The 20,084-nt window shown below is 43.5% G+C and overlaps 1 protein-coding gene across 1 annotated transcript in view, besides 3 other annotated features; it reads left to right on the plus strand.

Annotated features, from left to right (window-relative positions):
* FAM117B (family with sequence similarity 117 member B) overlaps positions 565-20,084 on the plus strand; it is a 134,789-nt gene continuing 115,269 nt past the window's right edge. Inside the window, exon 1 of the mRNA NM_173511.4 lies at positions 565-1,384. Coding sequence (NP_775782.2) covers positions 784-1,384 — 601 coding nt within the window. The 5' untranslated portion in view covers positions 565-783. The remainder of the gene's footprint in view (positions 1,385-20,084) is intronic.
* Positions 603-832: a silencer, noted in NCBI's record as "silent region_12246". NCBI's record gives its function as "represses an Ori minimal core promoter by ATAC-STARR-seq in GM12878 lymphoblastoid cells {active_cell/tissue: GM12878}" and the evidence as "EXISTENCE:reporter gene assay evidence [ECO:0000049][PMID:35858748]".
* Positions 1,023-1,072: a silencer, noted in NCBI's record as "silent region_12247". NCBI's record gives its function as "represses an Ori minimal core promoter by ATAC-STARR-seq in GM12878 lymphoblastoid cells {active_cell/tissue: GM12878}" and the evidence as "EXISTENCE:reporter gene assay evidence [ECO:0000049][PMID:35858748]".
* Positions 1,173-1,612: a silencer, noted in NCBI's record as "silent region_12248". NCBI's record gives its function as "represses an Ori minimal core promoter by ATAC-STARR-seq in GM12878 lymphoblastoid cells {active_cell/tissue: GM12878}" and the evidence as "EXISTENCE:reporter gene assay evidence [ECO:0000049][PMID:35858748]".

Raw genomic sequence — 20,084 nt, forward strand, 5'->3', positions numbered from 1 at the left:
TCTAAAAAATAAAAGGAGAGGGGCGTAAAATGCCAGTAAGATTAGTTAAATTTCTTCTCCTTTTGAGCCCTGCCCATAGGTAGATGGAATTAGGGCAGAACAAAAACATTAAGAATAAAAGCCCGAACGAGATGCGCGTACAGGTGAACACAAGTGAACACTGGGGTAAGGAAATGAGTTATGCGGAAAAGGCTTCAGACCATCCCTGGGAACTGCTCCGGGTCTGGACATTTCCTTTGGCAACCTTCCAGAGTCTGAGTCCCCAGGGCTCCCCCCGGCGGGAAAGGAAAGGCGCGCGTGGCTAGGCGCGCGCGTACACGGGCACTCACGTGTACACACACACGCGCGCACACTACACATACACACAGGGCCCATTTCCTCCGCTCCCTCCCCGCGGGGGGCGGGTCTCTTTCTCTTTAAAGAGCAGACGGTCTCCGCGCACACCCAGGCTCTCAAGGCCTCGGGGGCCCGGGACCCGAGCTGCTCGTAGCCAATGGGAGCAGTGGAGCGGCTCGAGCGCGGCTGACGCTGCACCAATGGGCGATCGTGGGGGGCGGGGGCAGCAGAGGAGACACTATTGTTGATGAGGAGCGGCGGCGGCGGCGGCGGCGGCTGCACCACCTCGTTGCTGCCTGCCCCGGCCCGGTCTCCCCCTGCACCCCGGAGTCCGGCTTCGTCACCCCGTCTTGGGGGGCCTGCCCTCCGGCCTCGAGAATCCTCCCCCTGCAGCCCAACAACAACAAAACCCCCCGTCTCGCCCAGTCACCGGGGAGGGGGGGGACCATGTCCCAGCGGGTGAGGCGCAATGGGTCCCCCACGCCGGCCGGCTCCCTTGGGGGTGGTGCGGTGGCCACGGCCGGGGGACCCGGGAGCCGCTTGCAGCCCATGAGGGCGACGGTTCCGTTCCAGCTGAAGCAGCAGCAGCAGCAGCAACATGGCAGCCCCACGCGGAGCGGCGGCGGCGGCGGCGGCAACAACAACGGTGGCTGCTGTGGTGGCGCCTCAGGCCCCGCAGGCGGCGGCGGCGGCGGTGGCCCGCGCACCGCCTCGCGCAGCACCAGCCCCACGCGCGGCGGCGGGAACGCGGCCGCGCGCACCAGCCCCACGGTGGCCACGCAGACGGGCGCGTCCGCGACGTCCACGCGAGGCACCAGCCCCACGCGCAGCGCCGCGCCTGGAGCTCGCGGGAGCCCCCCACGGCCGCCGCCGCCGCCGCCGCTGCTGGGCACCGTGTCGTCGCCCAGCTCGTCGCCCACCCACCTGTGGACCGGCGAGGTGAGCGCGGCCCCACCCCCAGCCCGCGTCCGGCATCGGAGGAGGTCTCCGGAGCAGAGCCGAAGCTCGCCGGAGAAGAGGAGCCCCAGCGCCCCGGTTTGCAAAGCAGGTAAGTGCTGGGGGTCGCGCAGCAAGGGGGAGGCGGCTGCGGGAAGGGGTCCCGGGCGCGCGCTGCAATCGCGCGGGGACTGCAGAGCTGCCGCGGAGCCCGGGTGGCTGGGGGCGGGGCTGGGGGCGGTGCCGGGCGGTGGGGGACCCGGCAGTGCGGCCCCGCCTTTCCCGGGCCTACCCTACGCCCCGCCCGCCCGCCCGCCTCATTCACCCCTCTGCCCGCCCCGCACGGCTCCCTGGTGGTGGAGGTGCAGCGGCTAAACCTTGGGCTTGAGCTGATGAGTGTTAATGATAAACCTGGCTTCCTGGCCTTACTCCTGGAGGAGTCGTTACTGCTTACCCTCCCTTGAGGGTGAGGCTAGGAGTGGTTTGTCACTTTGTTTTAGGGACAAGGTTAATGTTGGCATAGCCCATATCTGCTGCTGCTAAGTATTTCTGTTCACAAAACAGTTTCAGATCTGGGGTACTGAATGCATTAGCAGTGGCAGATTTGGATCACTGAACAGAGGAGGCTGAGAACCGTGTTTTAGCATTTCCTAAGACTTGATAAATGGGTAGCAAGAAGTGAAAATTAAACAAGATTCCTTAGGAAGGTTTATGGGTTTTGTCTGAGGCTCTGGGTGTATTTCTGATTTTGTGTACTGATTCTGTGTTTTGAATGTAGAAAAACAGAATCCAGTGTTTTGTCTCCATCTTGTTATTGTTTTAGGGAGCTAACATTCGTTGTTTTTCTGTTTACCTGGAAGCTTTCTTGGGGAAGGTCCTGAATGGAGCTGTTGGGTGCCAATGGAGTCATTCATAAAGAGTAACTCAAAAGAGAAATTCAAATTGTGGGAAGTGGAAAGGAATAAAATTTATAATCTTGTTGCCTTAAGGAAAGAAATGGGTGGTTTTTACTTACGTATTCATTTTTGTCAACATATATCTTTGTCTTTCCTTGTCTGGGGAACTTCTGTTAGAATTTTCCAGGCAGAATGGTTGGGAATTTCAGGAAACAAATTCAGATGAAATAGTTTCCGAAATGGAAGGAATAGGATGACTCTTTCTTACTATTTATTTTATGAAAGTTTTAGATAATACTTATTTAGAGAGAATTGCCCTGGAAAATGATGAATAGTATTTTCTTTTTTTGAGACAGAGTTTCTGTTGCCCAGGCTGGAGTGCAGTTACACGATCTCGGCTTACTGCAGCCTCCAACTCCCGGGTTCAAACGATTCTGCCTCAGTCTCCTGAGTAGCTGGGATTACAGGCGACCGCCACCATGCCCGGCTAATTTTTGTATTTTTAGTAGAGACAGGGTTTCACCATGTTGGCCAGGCTGGTCTCGAACTCCTGACCTCAGGTGAAACGCCCGCCTTGGCTTCCCAGAATGCTGGGATTACAGGCATGCGCCACTGCGCCCGGCCCGAATAGTGTTTTCTAATTAGAACCAGAGCACTGTTTTATTTATGTATTTATTTTTATTTATATTTTTATTTATTTTTTGAGACGGAGTCTTGCTCAGCTGCCCAGGCTGGAGTGCAGTTATGTGATCTCGGCTCACTGCAACCATGGTCTCCTGGGTTCAAGCGATTCTCCTATCTCAGCCTCCCGAGTAGCTGGGATTACAGGCACCCGCCATCATGCCCGGCTAATTTTTGTATTTTAGTAGAGATGGGGTTTCACCATGTTTGCCAGGATGGTTTGGAACTCCTGACCTTATGTGATCTGCCCGCCTTGGCCTCCCAAAGTGCTAGGATTGCCCAGCCCAGAGCACTATTTTAAACCTTTTGAGAATGCAGAATGCTTTTCTAAAACTGTGATAAAAGTACTAGATTTCCCCTCCCTGCTTCATAACCTCTGTCACCTACTGAACTCTTACTATTTGGCAGGTGGTTTTTATGCAAAATCTCATTTAACCCTCACTATAGCTTTTAGAGAGGTTAAGTAACAAGTGGCAGAGTTGGTATTTATTTGAACTTTGGTCAGTTGTACTCCAAAGACCATGTCTTTATATTATATCAAGGAAGTGACATCATGATGTGTAAGATAGAATGTGGGAAATATATAGCACACCAAAATTACATGTACTTAGTTAGGTAACTTTTTTTTTTTTTTTTTTTTTAAGATGGAGTCTCACTCTGTCACCTAGGCTGGAGTGCAATGGGGCAATCTTGGCTCACTGCAACCTCTGCCTCCCGGGTTCAAGCGATGCTCCTGCCTCAGCCTCCCGAGTAGCTGGGATTACAGGCATGCGCTACCACGCCTGGCTAATTTTGTGTTTTTAGTAGATACAGGGTTTCTCCACATTCGTCAGGCTGGTCTCAAGCTCCCAACCTCAGGTGACCTGCCGACCTCGGCCTCCCCAAAGTGCTGGGATTACAGGCATGAGCTACCGCGCCCAGCCACTAGTTAAGTAACTCTTACAGATATGAACAAAACTGCTTCAGTCCTTCAGCCTTCTGGAGCCAGCATAGTGCATCAGGTGGAAGGGAAGGAGCTGGCTTATAAGTGGGCAGTAGAGGTGGCAGAAGGAGGCACAGCCTGTAGTCTGATAACAGAATCTGGCTCTCTTAACAACTGTTTGACACTCAGAGAAACACCCTGAGGAGAACTGGGTTGAATTAAGTATTGGCAAGGTGTGGAGGAAGGTACTCTTTTTCTCTGATCTCTAGGAGGGCTCTATTTCCTGGGATGTCAGGCTACTCCCATGTCCTCTCTTCATGGTTTTTGAACGCTCCCCTTCCCTAGATCATCCCGTAGAGTATTTGCTGTAAAATTATCCCCATTTGCTCCCCTATCAAAATAAATAAATAAATAAATAAATCCAGAAAAATAAAAACTCTTATTTCTCAAAGTGTAGTCTGTGGTTTATCTGTATCAGAATTAGGGTGTGTGGTATAATAAAAAATAATTTGGCCAGGCGCGGTGGCTCACAGGGGTAATCCCAGCACTTTGGGAGGCCGAGGCGGTGGATCACCTGAGGTCAGGTTTAATACCTGTGTTCCGCCAACTAGAAAAATAAAAACTCTTATTTTTCTAGTGCAGCACTTTCACTTGGGTGTGAGAAATATTGTCTGTTATTAAGTCATACTCTAGTTTGAATGTCTCATAGTTTCATTCCCAGGAATTGTTGTTTCACTCTAGTAAATATCCATGCAGAGTAGAACAAAGTGTTTTCAGATTTCAGGTGTTCATAACACACACAAAACTACGATGAAATCATTTGCTGTTTTTATCTGACTAAATCTGGAAGGAAAGTCTTTGTAAACGTCAGAGTCCCTTTTTCATTAAAGGGAGGCTACCACCAGTTTGCAGCTGTGATGAATGTAAAAATCCCTACCGTAAAGGGTAAGGGTCTACCCCATATAATTCTATAAACCTCATAGGACTCAAATTTCAGGGTCCATCTAGATCAGGCTGTTGACTTCTAGGTGTCTTATCAGATGAACTGGATGCTGTAACCTTTGTTAGGGATCCGGTATCTCAGAGTCCCTAAGTTGAAGGTATCAAGATCCCTATCCAGTTGCTTTATTCTTCTAGGGTTAGAGCTAATTGGCTGGTGTAGAACTTCCTACTCTTGACTACTATAAAGTAATCCAAGCACCCATCCCTGACAGATATTTTAAACTTCCCACCTTCAGTGACTGTCATCTCCATAGCAAAGCCGTTTGTCATTAGGAACTGAGGTATGTTTAGAAAAGGTACCTAGGCAACAGTGTTAACCAGAAAGTTTATTTTTGTGCCTTCTCTCCTTTTACCCAACTTCATTTTACTTATTAAAATGTCAAATAGATTACAAATGGAGAGATGGTATAACATCGAGGTGAGGAGGATATACTTTGGGTAGACAGTTTGAGTTTAATACCTGTGTTCTGCCAACTAGAAGCCATGTGATATGGAAAGTTATTTTTCTTATCTGTGAAATGGGTGGTGAAATCTACTTCATATGATAGTAGGGATTAAATAAGGGAAAACTGAAAAACAGCACAGTACCTCAGTATAAAAGTTAGCTGTTGTGTATCATATTAGTTTTGCTTCTAGTTTTAGTGTATTTAACATAAATTACCAGTGTAGGTTCAGTTTTCATGGTTGTATGAAGTTTCAAATTGGTGATAACATTGCCTGTGAACATCCAGAATGGTGTTTCTCAAAGTGTAGTCTGTGGTTCATCTGTATCAGAATTACTTAGGGTGTGTGGTATAATAAAAAAAATTTGGTCGGGCACGGTGGCTTATACCTGTAATCCCAGCATTTTGGGAGGCCAAGGTGGGTGGATGACCTGAGGTCAGGAGTTCGAGACCAGCCTGCCCAACATGGCGAAACCCTGTCTCTACTAAAAATACAAAAAATTAGACAGGTGTGGTGGCAGGCGCCTATAATCCCAGCTACCGGGGAGGCAGAGGCAGGAGAATCACTTGAACCCAGAAGGTGGAGGTTGCAGTGAGCCGAGATTGTGCCACTGCACTCCAGCCTGAGCAACAAGAGCAAAACTCCGTCACAACAACCACCACCACCACCACAAAATATATATATATATATATATATATATATATATATATATATATATATATGGCAAGTCGTGTTCTTGCTAGTTTCCCCCTTCCTTTGGATGTATTAAGTTGTGTATAAATTCGTTTGTTTATTGGAGTTGGGGAGTGCCAAGGGCAGCAAAAAGTGATAACTTCTTTGGACTAATAGGCAGAATCAAGAAGCAAGATAACCAGAACTTATATTTGTGTCATCTTTGATGTCTACTTTCTAGTACCTTATGAAATATGTCTCTAAGAATTTAGTGTTTCTCTAACATTTGGAGGATTGCTGCTAACATTACACATTCAAGGGAATTCTTTTTTTTTTTGGAGACTGGGTCTCTGTCACCCAGGCTGGAGTGTAGTGGCACGATCTCGGCTCACTGCAACCTCTGCCTCCGGGGTTCGGGTAATTCTCCCGCCTTAGCTTCCCGAGTAGCTGGGACTACAGGTACATGCCACTATGCCCAGCTAATTTTCTGTATTTTGGGTAGAGACTGGGTTTCACCATGTTGCCCAGGGTGCTCTCCAACTCCTGAGCTCAAGCTATCTGCCTGCCTCAGCCCCCCAAAGTGCTGGGATTAGAGGCACGAGTCACCCACACCCGGCTAAAGGGAATTCTTTTGGTTTGTGATGTCTATATTTTGCAATGAAGATGAGACAAAGTAGAAACTATTAGTTTTATGTCTTGGCTAGTAGAATTTACATTTAATTAAGTTAAATTCTGTAAGCTTTGATTGAACTACTCTGTGTTATTAACAGTGTAATACAAAGATGTAAAACACACAAGGAATTCCAGAGACTCACAAACTAGCCATGTAAGACAGATACATAAGCATATAATGTGATGAGTTTTCTGGCTTAGAGAGTGAATAATTCCACAGGGGATGGGTATAGAGGTTCCCTCAGAGGAGATGAATTTTGAATTGGATTACAAAGGGAAGAACAGAACTTTGCAGTTGGATCTTAGAGGTGTGAAAATAAGCCTATCATATTCAGTTCTTTGTGGCTTGAAATGTAGGGTAATAGGGTGTTGGGATGGGGAGAGCGGAAATAGTAGAGAAAGAAGGGAGAGACGTAAGTTTTCAGAATGACTTTGAATAGAATATATACATTAGAAAGTATTCCATGGTTAATAGTATGTACTCTGGAGCCAGACTGTCAGGGTTCAGACCCTGGAGTTGCCATTTACTTGCTAGCAGTTTAACTTTAGGCAAGTTCACTTTACTTGTAAAAAGGGGATACTAATGATACTTACCGTAGATAATTGTTTCAAGGAATAAAATCTTTGTAATCTGTGTGTGGGGTATAGGAATCTCAATATTAGATATTTTATTTTCTTTTTTTTTTTTTTTGAGATGGAGTTTCACTCTTGTTGCCCAGACTGGAGTGCAATGGCAGATCTTGGCTCATTGTAACCTCCGCCTCCTGGGTTCAAGCGATTCTCCTGCCTCAACCTCCTGAGTAGCTGGGATTACAGGCGCCTGCCACCACGCCCAGCTAACTTTTGTATTTTTAGTAGAGACAGGGTTTCACTATGTTGGCCAGGCTGGTCTCGAACTCCTGACCTCAGGCGGTCCATCCGCCTCGGCCTCCCAAAGTGCTGAGATTACAGGCATGAGCCACCGCGCCTGGCAGATATTTTCTTTTTTTTTTTTTTTATCGGAGTCTTACTCTGTCGCCCAGGCTGGAGTGCAGTGGTGTGATCTCGGCTTACTGCAACCTCCGCCTCCCAGGTTCAAGCCATTCTCCTGCCTCAGCCTCCTGAGTAGCTGGACTACAGCCGTGTGCCACCATGCCCGGCTGATTTTTGTACTTTTTTTTTTTTTTTTTAGTAGAGACGGGATTTCACCATATTGGACAGGCTGGTCCTGAACTCCTGACCTCGTGATCTGTCCGCCTCGGCCTCCCAAAGTGCTGGGATTGCAAGCGTGAGCCACCACGCCCAGCCAGATATTTTCACATCATTGTCTTCCTTCTCATCCAAGGCTTTAGGCACTCACAGTTATTATTACTAGTATTTATATTCTTAGAATAAATAGAATATATATATATATATATATAAAATGAGTAGAGTGTGACTTGAGATAGGAGAAACTCACAAAGGCATTGATCACCTGAATTTTGGGGGAATGGCAGTGGGAATGGCAAGAGTAAAAAAGATTGAAAAGACTGATTTGGCAAACTGTTGGATGTAGGGATTGAGAAACGGGGAGTTGAGGGTGATAGTTTGGATGGTGGTTCTAATTGATAACAGTGAGGAGAACAGATTTGGGAAAAGAAAATGAACTCAGTTGTGGATGTATTTGGTTTGTGCTCTCAGGAACTTCAGATAATTTTCTAGATTGTGGCAAATAACATTTTAAAACTCAGGGATACACTTTGAACTTGGGGGTAAAAATTAGGACTCATTTATTGCAGTTCAGTAAACATTCATTTAACATGTACATCATGCTAGGCATTTACATGTGGGCAACACTCGAAATGACTAATCACTAGGGTGGATAAAATGATAGGGAAAATGCTGAAGATAGAACTCTGGGAGGAAACAAGCATTTTTAAGGGTAGAAAGAAAAGCCAGTGAAGAAACCTGTGAAATGTGGTAGGAGGAGAAATGGTAGAATAGTGTTGAGAAAGCCGAAAAGAAAGATTGTATTTCAAGGAGAGATAGGAAAGATTTTCAAATGTCGTGAAGTAGGCTGAGCCTGGAGAATAGGCCTTTGAATCTGGCATGTAGATTAGTCAATGATCTGTGAGAGAAAGTAGTTTGAGAAGCATGTTGGGGGCACAAATCAAAGTGGAGGATGAGGAAGTAGAGGTAATGAGTATAAAGTACTTTAATGTGGACGGAAGGAAAGTGAAAAAACTGGGTGAAGGGTGTGCTTAAGCTTCAGTTATTTACAGGATGTGGAAAACTTCAGCTTGTTTATAGCTTTTAGGGAAAGGATTTATAGAATGAAAGATTGTAAATTCAAGAGAAGATGGTAAATGTAGATGGAGCAAGGTTATGGAAAATGCGAGAGGCATGGGATCCAGTACATGGTAGAGTCTGGAAATCTCAGAAACAAGGACATTTTTTTCTCTGAGGAGGGGAAGAGGTAAGGGCGTAGGTTAAGATGATAGGTAAATCAGCAGTAGAAGGGAAGGAAGTTGAGAAAGTAAGCTACTTCCTTTTCCAAACTACTTGAAGGCAAAAATAGCATGCTTGTCTTTATACTATATTTTTAAATTTAAATTTATTTTTTTAAACTACGTGTGCATAATTTAAAATGTCAAATAGCACTGAACTTATTATCAAATAAAATGTTCCCTTGTCACATCTTTCTCCACTCCCTCTTCCTGCCCCCTAGAAACAACCACTTTCAACTCTTAGAGGTTTCTTTGGCTGTTTACCTACACATTTCTTTTTCTTTCTTTCTTTTTTTTGAGACAGAGTCTCGCTCTGTCACCCAGGCTGGAGTGCAATGTCAGGATCTCAGCTCACTGCAACCTCTGCCTCTTGGGTTCAAGCAATTCTTATGCCTCAGCCTCCTGAGTAGCTGGGATTGTAGGTGTGTAGCACCATTCCCTGCTAATTTTTGTATTTTTAGTAGAGGCAGGGTTTCCCCGTGTTGGCCAGGCTGGTCTCGAACTCCTGGCCTCAAGTGATCCACCCGCCTTGGCCTCCCAAAATGCTGGAATTACAGGCGTGAGCCACCGTGCCTGGCCTACACATTTCTAAATAATATGCTATACTACTGCTTTAGGAGCTGTTTTTTTTTTGTTTTTTTTTTTTTTTTTTTTCAGTTTTATGTATTATGTAGTGACTTGCTACTGTGGAAAATGTACACTTAATTCTCTAATCACCATCCTACCGAATCCTTCCATTGTAGGTGTAGCATCTTTTGGTTAAATCAGTATTAATGTTATTATGACCATGTAAATATTGATTACAGTAGAGCCTTGTTGGATACTACAGTTATATTTTCTTTTTAAATAACTTTTTGTGGTCTTTGAGGTTAAAATTGTTTTTCATTTTGATTGCTTCGTTTTCTATGTACCTATCACAAATTTATCCCTAAGAAAGTTTTGATAATGGAAACTTCCTGTAAATAATTAAAAACATAGCAGAGAGTTACTTTTGTTTATTTTCCTTGGAGATATGTCTTTTGGAGTCCCTCATCCTCATATTCCAAATTAGCTCATTGATCTCTACATCTGTGGCACAGCTATTAGAACCGGGAACTTCCCTGGGAATTCTCTTCACTTCTCTCCTGTTTTGGATACTCTAATTTCTGGATGTTGTTTTGCTGGAGTGCATTTTCCAATAATTTTTTGAGAGAGGATACATGGGAGGTATATGTTATACCCAGACCTTGAATATCTTCAGTGATGTCTTTATACTTGCCGGTTTGACTGGGTATAGAATTAGAATTGTAGGTTGGAAATAATTTTTCCACTGGGTATTGAAAGCACTTCATCTTCTAGCTTTTGGAATTGCTGTTGAGAATTTGGATGCCATTCTGATTCTTAATCCTTTGTTGGTGATGGTGTCTGTCCTCTGTGGAAGGGTTACCACCATTCTGAAATGAGGATTGCCTTGTTGTGAGGTGTTTCATTGTTTGTTTTCTGTTCACTGTGCTGGTTACTCTGTGGGCTTTTTCAGTCTAGAGACTATTTCTGGGAATTTTTCTTTTATTATTTCTCCTTTCTGTTATCTTTGTTTTTTGTCTTTTTGGAAGCTGTGTTATCTAGTTGTGGTATATCTTGGAGCACATCTGTAATTTAACAATTTCTGTCTAGTTTCCGTATCTTTATCTGTTTGCATTTCTTTTTTATTATTTTTCAAAATTTCAAAATATATTTTCTTTTAAAAAATAGAGACTGAGTCTCGCTGTATTGCCCAGGCTGGTCTGGAACTCCTGGCCTTAAGTGATGCTTTTGCCTTGGCCTCCCAAAGTGCTGGGATTACTCACGCCTGGCCTGTTTCTTTTTTTTCTTTCTTTTTTTTTTTGTTTGTCTGTTTTTGAGACAGAGTCTCGCTGTCGCCCAGGCTGGAGTGCAGTGGCGAGATCTCGGCTCACTGCAGGCTCCGCCCCCCGGGGTTCACGCCATTCTCCTGCCTCAGCCTCCCGAGTAGCTGGGACTACAGGCGCCCGCCACCTCGCCCGGCTAATTTTTTGTATTTTTAGTAGAGACGGGGTTTCACTGTGTTAGCCAGGATGGTCTTGATCTCCTGACCTCGTGATCTGCCCGCCTCGGCCTCCCAAAGTGCTGGGATTACAGGCGTGAGTCACTGCGCCCGGCAGCCTGTTTTTATTTCTATCAGATTTATTTATTTGAGACGGAGTCTCGCTCTGTCGCCCAGGCTAGAGTGCAGTGGAGAGATCTCGGCTCACTGCAACCTCCGCCTCCCGGGTTCAAGCAAGTCTCCTGCCTCAGCCTCCCGAGTAGCTGGGACTGTAGGCGCGCGCCACCACGCCCAGCTAAATTTTTTGTATTTTTAGTAGAGACGGGGTTTTACCAAATTGGCCAGGCTGGTCTCGAACTCCTGACCTCAGGTGATCCGCCCGCCTTGGCCTCCCAAATGCTGGGATTACAGGAGTGAGCCACAGCGCCCGGCCTATCAGATTTATTTTTATCTTGTATTCGTTTTATTGATTTTTACATTTTGGCCATTATACTTCAGTTCTTCAAGAGCACTTGCCTTGCTGTTTGTTCTTTGTCCTGTTAATGCCTAAAAGTTTTTTGTTTTTTTTTTTTTGAGATGGAGTCTTGCTCCGTTGCCCAGGCTGGAGTGCAGTGGCACTATCTTGGCTCACTTCAGCCTTCGCCTCCCGGGTTCAAGCAATTCTCCCACCTCAGCCCCCTGAGTAGCTGCGACTACAGGGGCACACCACTACACCTGGCTAATTTTGGTGGGTTTCACCATGTTGGCCAGGCTGGTCTTGAACTCCTGACCTCAAGTGATCCGCCTGTCTCCACCAGCCAGAATGTTGGGATTATAAGCGTGAGCCGCTTGGCCTGGCCACTTTCTATTAATATTTAAGTGAGACATTAAAATGCTGATTAAATGTTTTCTGTGTTTAGATCAGGCTGCTTGTCTGGAGCATGTTACTCTAGAAAGAAGACGCAGGGACTCCCAAAAGTAGGTTTTTTTTCTTCTCTTGGGCCAGTTTCCCCAGGGAAGAGACCTCAGTATCATGCCTAAGGATATGTGTAGTGTCCTTAAGTCCAGAGCCTGTCTCGTTAATTTCTATAGCGCAGATTTTCCCAATCTTTTTGTTCTGGAGACTCCTTGGCATCGTTTCCATTTCTCAGGGAACCCAGGCATTTGTCACCAGGAAGTTGAGATATATTGCTCTAGTAATAATTTATGCTCTTTTGAGTACGAGTGGTTTCTCTATGAATCTGTTTATTTGACCATCTTATTAGCCTATTCATTTTGTATGGTTTTCCTCTCTCCCCTAAGGATATCATCATTATTGCAAGTGAGTAGTGAAGTAAAGGAAACTTTAGTTTTTCCTTCTAAAGAAATTCCTGTATGATTTTTTTTTACCTTGTTTAAGTGATAACAATAGTTTTATCCCCAGTTTTTAGTATACAAGATGCTAATGAGATATTATGTGATCTAGGGTATGTACAAGAGGCACACCCCCAGCCAGCTTTTAAGACTAAACATGTTATTTTTAACTAACTTTTTTTGGGGGAAAATGTGCAGTTAAGCTTAGCTTACCTTTCTTGAAATTAATCTCTTCCCTTTTCTTAGATTTTTAAAAACTTATAAGGCAACCATAATGTTTTGATTAAATAATTTATATAAGACAAAATGGGATTTATTTTTTCTAAAGGTATATTTAATTTAAATGAACTTAGTAAAGTTATTTTTTACAATAGGAAAATTTATAATGTTTATAGTAAAAGCTACTAAAACCATAAAGCAAGGCAATATAAAAAAATATAGCTTAACACAATTTTATCTGAGAGCTTCAAAAATTTCTTTTTCTGTAACAAGATCTGTGTCAAATATAGGTCTAGCAGAATTATTAATGTGTGGCGATTTCTTGGTCTCTATTCTAGACCTGTACATAAAAAGTGATATTTTCAAAACTGAAAAAAACAGTTTATTTATTTCAACAAAACGTGTATATATATTTTTTTCTGTACAAATACTCAGTTCTGGGTTGAGCTTGAAATGAGCACACCCAGATTTCATATTCAACTGAAATGAAACTTTCTTCTTTGATCTTGATGCTTGTTAAACAAGAAGAAGCTTGTTGATGCATATGAGAATTTGAAAACTACAGCAAAATATTCATCGCTTACATGTGAATGACAAGACTTTATTCTTTCCATAGAAATCTAGAACTTATTTTGGGGCAGATGAGGAAATCTTGGGTGGAGCATAGGATCAGGCTGCAGCAAAGTTATCACCTAAACATCTGCTTCCAAAACAACTTGGTTGAAAACTTGTTTTTGCTCTTGCCTCTTTTCCCGTGTATTGTTCTAGTGAGTTTATGTATTTTTATTCTGTTAGTATTATTTAATAGGAAGTATCTGACATTTTTTTGATTGAGGCTGGCATGTAGCAGTTGAGATGAAATTAGTGCTAGTTTAACCCAAAAGAAATTTACTGACATTTTTCTTCTTCTTCATGAGCTAGTATAGGCTGCTGCTTGGAGTCTTCGCCCTCAAGGAACTAACTCTGTAATTGTATGGTTTAATTTACCTACCAGAATGTGTCTCTCTTTCCTCTCCTCTCTCCCCTACTCCATTCTTTCTTTGCAGGCAATAATGTGCACATGATAAAAATTATAAATGGTAAGGAGAATACAGTCAGCAGTCTTCTTGCTGTTTGTCTCAGTTCATTCTTCTCAAGAGAAATCCAGTTGTTTCTTTGTATAATTCCAGAGCTATTCTATGTATATTCAGATATATGCATATGTCAGCTGGGCTTGTTGGCTCATGCCTTTAATCCTAGCACTTTGGGAGGCCGAGATGTGTAGATTGCCTGAGCTCAGAAGTTCGAGACCAGCCTGGGCAACATGGTGAAACCCCGTCTCTACTAAAATACAGAAAAAAATTAGCCGAGTATAGCGGTCGGTGTGCGCCTGTAGTCCCAACTATTTGGGAGGCTGAGGCAGGAGAATTGCTTCAACCTGGGAGGTGGAGGTTGCAGTGAGCCAGGATTGCGCCACTGCACTGCAGCCTGGGTGACAGAGCGAGACTCTGTCCCCACCCCCCCCCCAAAACAAAAAATACATATATATATATGTATGTATGTGTGTGTGTGTGCGTGTATGTCGTTGTGCACATAGGTTTATAGTGGACCATGCATTATTTCATCAGGCTTTTATTTATAAACATTTAGATCATTTCTAGCCTTTTGCTGTTAAATGATGCTAGGTTGAATATTCTTGTATATACTTCTTTGTGCACTTATATATGAATTTATCTGTAGGACAAATTCTTTTTTTATTATTATTTTTTATTTTTTTTGAGAAGAAGTCTTGCTCTGTTGTCCAGGCTGGAGTGCAGTTGGGTGATCTTGGCTCACTGCAACCTCTGACTCCCGGGTTCAGGCGATTCTCCTGCCTCAGCCTCCTGAGTAGCTGGGACTACAGGCGCACACCTGGCTAATTTTTGTATTTTTAGTAGAGATGGTGTTTCACCGTGTTGACCAGGCTGGTCTCGAGCTCCTGACCTCGGGCGTTCTGCCCGCCTCAGCCTCAAAGTGCTGGGATTACAGGCATGAGCCACCGTGCCCGGCTGACAAATTCTTAGAAATAGAATTTTTTGGGTCAGAAGGGCGTGCATTTTTCTTTGTGTTGTCAGATATATTTTGGGAATTGATATCAGTTTGTACCTGAATTTCATGAACATTTTTTCCCCATCCTCCTTTGGATTATGTTTTATCATTTCATCTTACTATTATTTTTTGGAGTCCTTGCCCTCAAGGAGTAAACTCTTAATTGTACAGTTTAATCTACCTACCAGAATGTCTCCTTCCCTCTCTCTTTTCTGTCTTCCCTATCTTCACTATTGTTGCCTCTTTTTACTGTGTTCTAAAGTGGTTGTGCTAGAGCACTGCTGTCTAGTAGAACTTTGTGAATGATGGTGTGTTGTCTAATATTTCATATGGTAGAACCTTACATATAATTCTGTTTCCTCCCACCCATCCTTTGTGATATAATTGTCAAATACTTTGTTATTCATCAAATATTTTCTCTCTCTTATAAACTTTGTAATGCTTTGTTATTTATTTATTTATTTTTATTTTTTATTTTTTGAGATAGAGTCTTGTTCTGTCTCTGAGGCTGGAGTGCAATGGCGTGATCTCGGCACATTGCAACCTGTGCCTCCCGGGTTCAAGTGATTCTCCTGTCTCAGCCTCTCGAGTAGCTGGGATCACAGGCACGCGCCACCACACTGGGCTAATTTTTGTGTTTTTAGTAAAGACGGGGTTTCACTGTGTTGGCCAGGCTGGTCTCGAACTCCTGACCTCAAGTGATCTGCCCACGTCAGCCTCCCAGAGTGCTGGGATTTACAAGCGTGAACCACCGTGCTCGGCTTATTTATTTGTTTGTTTGTTTGTTTATTTTTTGAGATGGAGTTTTGCTCTTGTTGCCCAGGCTGGAGTGCAGTGGTGCGATCTCAGCTCACTGGAACCTTCACCTCCTGGGTTCAAGTGATTCTCCCGCCTTTAGCCTCCCAAGTAGCTGGGATTACAGACGCCTACCACATACCTGGTTAATTTTTTTTTTTTGGATTTTTAGTAGACACGGGGTTTCATCTAGCCAGTGTTTTAGAGCAATTAAAAATAGGAAGAAAGTCTTTTATATTTATCCTAATTTCTACTATTTTCAGCAGCCTTAATTTCTTTGTTTGAAAATAGGGTGGTTCTAGTTAGTGTGAATGAAAAAGGGTTTATTTAAAAAGTGAAGAATTGATAGGATTTGTTAACTGATTAGATTTGGTAGATGAAAGAGTGTAATGATGGCTGGGATTTGGAACCTACTTGGGTGGTCGGGTTAATAATGTTGCCAGTATTAACTTGTTTCATAAATGCTGTTAAAATTTTCTGTATTCATACAGAGTAGGCCATGGACTTTTGGAGCATAATGCACTAAAATTTTTAACCTTTAAAAGTAATAAAAATATGGAAAATTTGGACGATAAAGGAAAAGGCTCATGTATTAGGGTTATCTAGAGGAACTGAACTAATAGGATAGATGTATATATAAAGGGGAGTTTATTAAGGAGTATTGACTCACGTGATCACAAGGTAAAGTCCCACAATAGGCTGTCTGCAATCTGGGGAGCAAGGAAGCCAGTCCGAGTCCCAAAACCTTAAAAGTAGGGAAGCCGACAGTGCAGCCTTCAGTCTGTGGCAAAGGCCTGAGAGCGCCTGGCAATCCACTGGTGTAAATCCAAGAGTCCAAAAGCTGAAGAAACTGGAGTGAGATGTTTAAGGGCAGAAAGCATCCAGCACGGGAGAAAGATGAAGGCCGGAAGACTCAGCAAGTCCGCTCTTCCAAGATCTTCTCCTGCCTGCTTTATTCTAGCCGCACTGGCAGCTGATTAGATGGTGCCCACCCTGATTGAGGGTGGGTCTGCCTCTCCCAATCCGCTGACTCAAATATTAATCTCCTTTGGCAACACCCTCACAAACAAACCCGGGAACAATACTTTGCATCCTTCAATACAGTCAAGTTGACACTCAATAATAACCGTCACAGCTCATGATTATTTTTGGATGTTCCCTTCTAATTTGCCATTCTTTTTTTTTTTTTTTTTTTTAAGACGGAATCTTGCTCAGTCGCCCAGGCTGGAGTGCAGTGGTGCCATCTCAGCTCACTGTAACCTCTGCCTCCCAGTTCAAGCAATTCTGGTGCCTCAGCCTCCAGAGTAGATGGGATTACAGGCACCTGTCACCACGCCCAGCTAATTTTTGTATTTTTAGTAGAGACAGGGTTTCACTACGTTGGCCAGGCTGGTCTCGAACTCCTGATTGCAGGTGATCTGCCTATCTCAGCCTCCCAAAGTGCTGGATCACAGGTGTGAGCCACCGCTCCGGGCCCTTAATTTACCATTCCTTTTTTTTTTTTTGAGATGGAGTTTCACTCTTGTTGCCCAGGTTGGAGTGCAATGGCACAATCTTGGCTCACTGCAACTCCCATCTCCTGGGTTTAAGTGATTCTCCTGCCTCGGCCTCCTGAGTAGCTGGGATTATAGTCGCTCACGACCATGCCTGGTTAATTTTTTGTATTTTTAGTAGAGACAGGGTTTCACCATGTTGGCCAGGCTGGTCTCAAACTCCTGACCTCAGGTGTTCCACCCGCCTGGGCCTCCCAAAGTGCTGGGATTACAGGCGTGAGCCACCACGCCTGGCCAAAAGTTTGTAATTTTTATCTTACATGCTGTTCTACTGGGATATAATGGGCTATATTTAGTAGTGTCTGGGAAAACCATTTAATTATATTTTCCTATTGTGCATGTATGTTGGTATTTCTAAAGATAAAGACAAGTTTGGGAGGCTGAGGCAGGCGGATCACCTGAAGTCAGGAGTTCGAGACCAGCCTGACCACCATGGAGAAACCCTGTCTCTACTACAAATACAAAATTAGCCGGGCGTGGTGATGCATGCCTGTAATCCCAGCTGCTTGGGAGGCTGAGGCAAGAGAATTGCTTGAACCTGGGAGGCAGGGTTTGCAGTGAGCTGAGGTGGTGCCATTGCACTCCAGCCTGGGCAACAAAAGTGAAACTCTGTCTAAAAAAAAAAAAAAAAAAAAGATAAGGACAAGGGATGTCTGTTTATATTATTTTATTTTTTTTAAAGACAAGGTCTTGCTCTGTTTCCCAGGCTGTAGTGCAGTGACATGATCTTGGTTCGCTGCAGCCTCGACCTCCCTAGCTTAAGTGATCCTCCCACCTCAGCCTCCTGAGTAGCTGGGACCACAGGTGCATGCCACCTTGCCAGGCTAATTTCTTTATTTTTTTTGTAGAGATGGGGTCTCACTATGTTGCCCAGGCTGGCCTCAAACTCATGGCTTCAGACAATCCTCTTTCTTTGGCCTTCCAGTGTTAGGATTACAGGTGCGAGCCACCCTGCCTGGCCTGTTTATGTTATTTTAGAACCCGTGCTCACTTTGTGCAGAGCAGGATGTTGAGAACACATCCTTGACCTTATGGACTTTAGAATTTAAGAAAGAGATAATTCAGATTTTTGCAGTATTCAGGGGTTAACAGTACAAAGAAGAACATATGTAGTATTACCGAAAAGAGTAGTACTTCATGACAAAAGCCTGATATGGCCGTATGTGGCTCTATCTTGAGTCAGAATGCTTTGTGTGCAGTCAGGAATTGTTGGGTGATTGGTAGAGTAGAGATCTTTCACTTCTATAGAAAGCAGATGCCATTAATGCTATCCCTAAGAATTCTTGGAAGGTCTACTCCTGGAAATTAATTTAATGTCATGGGAATGCTCCTGTTCTACTTCAGGGATGTTATATCTCAATTGTATAGGGAAGATTGAGGACCCACACCTTTGGACATTCTCTCTAGCAGTTAAACTTTTTTACCCGTAAATCTCAGTAACCTGCAGTCCAGAAAGGGAGAACTTGCAAGATTTAAGTGAGACTCAATACAAATTTTGTCAAATGAATAAATGGCTTCCTGTTAAAAAATAAAAAAAACAAAACAGGCTGGGCATGGTGGCTCATGCCTGTAATCCTAGCACTTTGGGAGGACGAGACTGGAAGATCACTTGAGCTCAGGAGTTTTCGAGACCAGCCTAGGCAACATAGAGGTACCTCATCTCTACAAAAAAATTGAAAAATTAGCTAGATGAGGTGGCACACACCTGTAGTCCCAGCTGCTTAGGGGGCTGCGGTGGAAAGATCCCTTGAGCCCAGAAGGTGGAGGATGCAGTGAGCCATGATCATGCCACAGCACTCCTGCCTGGGCAACAGAGTAAGACCCTGTCTCAAAAACAACAACAATAGCAACTAAAGAAACCCCCACAAAAGTGAAGACCCGTGCCCCATCCTCTATTCATCTTTTAAAAAGTATTTAACTTTTGTTTTGTTTTGTTTTGTTTTGTTTTAAGAGACAGGGTCTCGCTATGTTGCTTAGGCTGGTCTGGAACTCCAGGCCTCAAGCAATCCTCCTGCCTCAGCCTCCAGAGTTGCTGGGATTACAGGCATGAACATTTGTGCCTGACATTTATCTTTTGTGTATTCGTTCTCTATTAGTTTGGAAGCTTTGAGTATCACTGGATTTTGTCTGTCTTGAAAACTATTTTCTTGTCTATCACTGGATTTTGTCTGTCTTGAAAACTATTTTCTTGTCTTTTAATCAATTTCCCTGATAATTGAGAGTTTGAGAAATTCACACGTTAATTGAACCTTAGAAATCCTCATAATGTGTTCATTTGTTAACCCGTTTTTCTTCATTTACTTGAATGTATTATATCCTCTTGGCAATTAAAGTGCGGCAAACACCAAAAAAGATTTTTTTTTGCCCTAATCATTTATTACTATGGTGACTGAAAAGAAATGATTTTTCTGTCACTAATGAAATGGTCTTCCAGGTTCTCTCTTGCATTTCAAGTATGCTACTATTCAACCTTTTCTGTGCATGTATATAAGCATTTGTCCGTACTATTCAACCTTTTCTGTGCATGTATATAAGCGTTTGTCAGGACAGAGGTAGACTCGTGATTGCCAAAATTTCCCCAGTGAAATCATCTTGGCCTGGAGGGGGTGCGGGAAGAGAGTGAGTGAGAGAGAGAGAGAGAGAGAGAGAGAGAGAGAGAGTGAGAGTGTGTGTGTGTGTTTGTGTGTGTTGAAGACTTACTAACTTGATTCTGATTGAAAAGAAAGACAGTAATATTAAATTTTATTGGCCAAATTTTTTTATTTATAATATTTACTTTAAGAACACTTACTGAGATATAAAATATATCCAGAAAAGTCTACCTCAAAAAAAAAAAATCTCAGAGTTGCTGGGATTTCAGGCATGAGCCACCATGCCTGACATTTGTCTTTTGTGTATTTGTTCTCTATCTGTTTGGAGGCTCTGGGTTATCACTGGATTTTTGCCTATCTTGAGCACTATTTTCTTGTCTTGTAGTTAAACTTTGTTTATGAAGGTTGTACTGATAGCCCACTATTGAGTAGTTTTAATGTCTTCAATAATCCTGGAAAT

This window comes from Homo sapiens, chromosome 2 (assembly GCF_000001405.40).
Source record: "Homo sapiens chromosome 2, GRCh38.p14 Primary Assembly".
Lineage (NCBI taxonomy): Eukaryota > Metazoa > Chordata > Mammalia > Primates > Hominidae > Homo > Homo sapiens.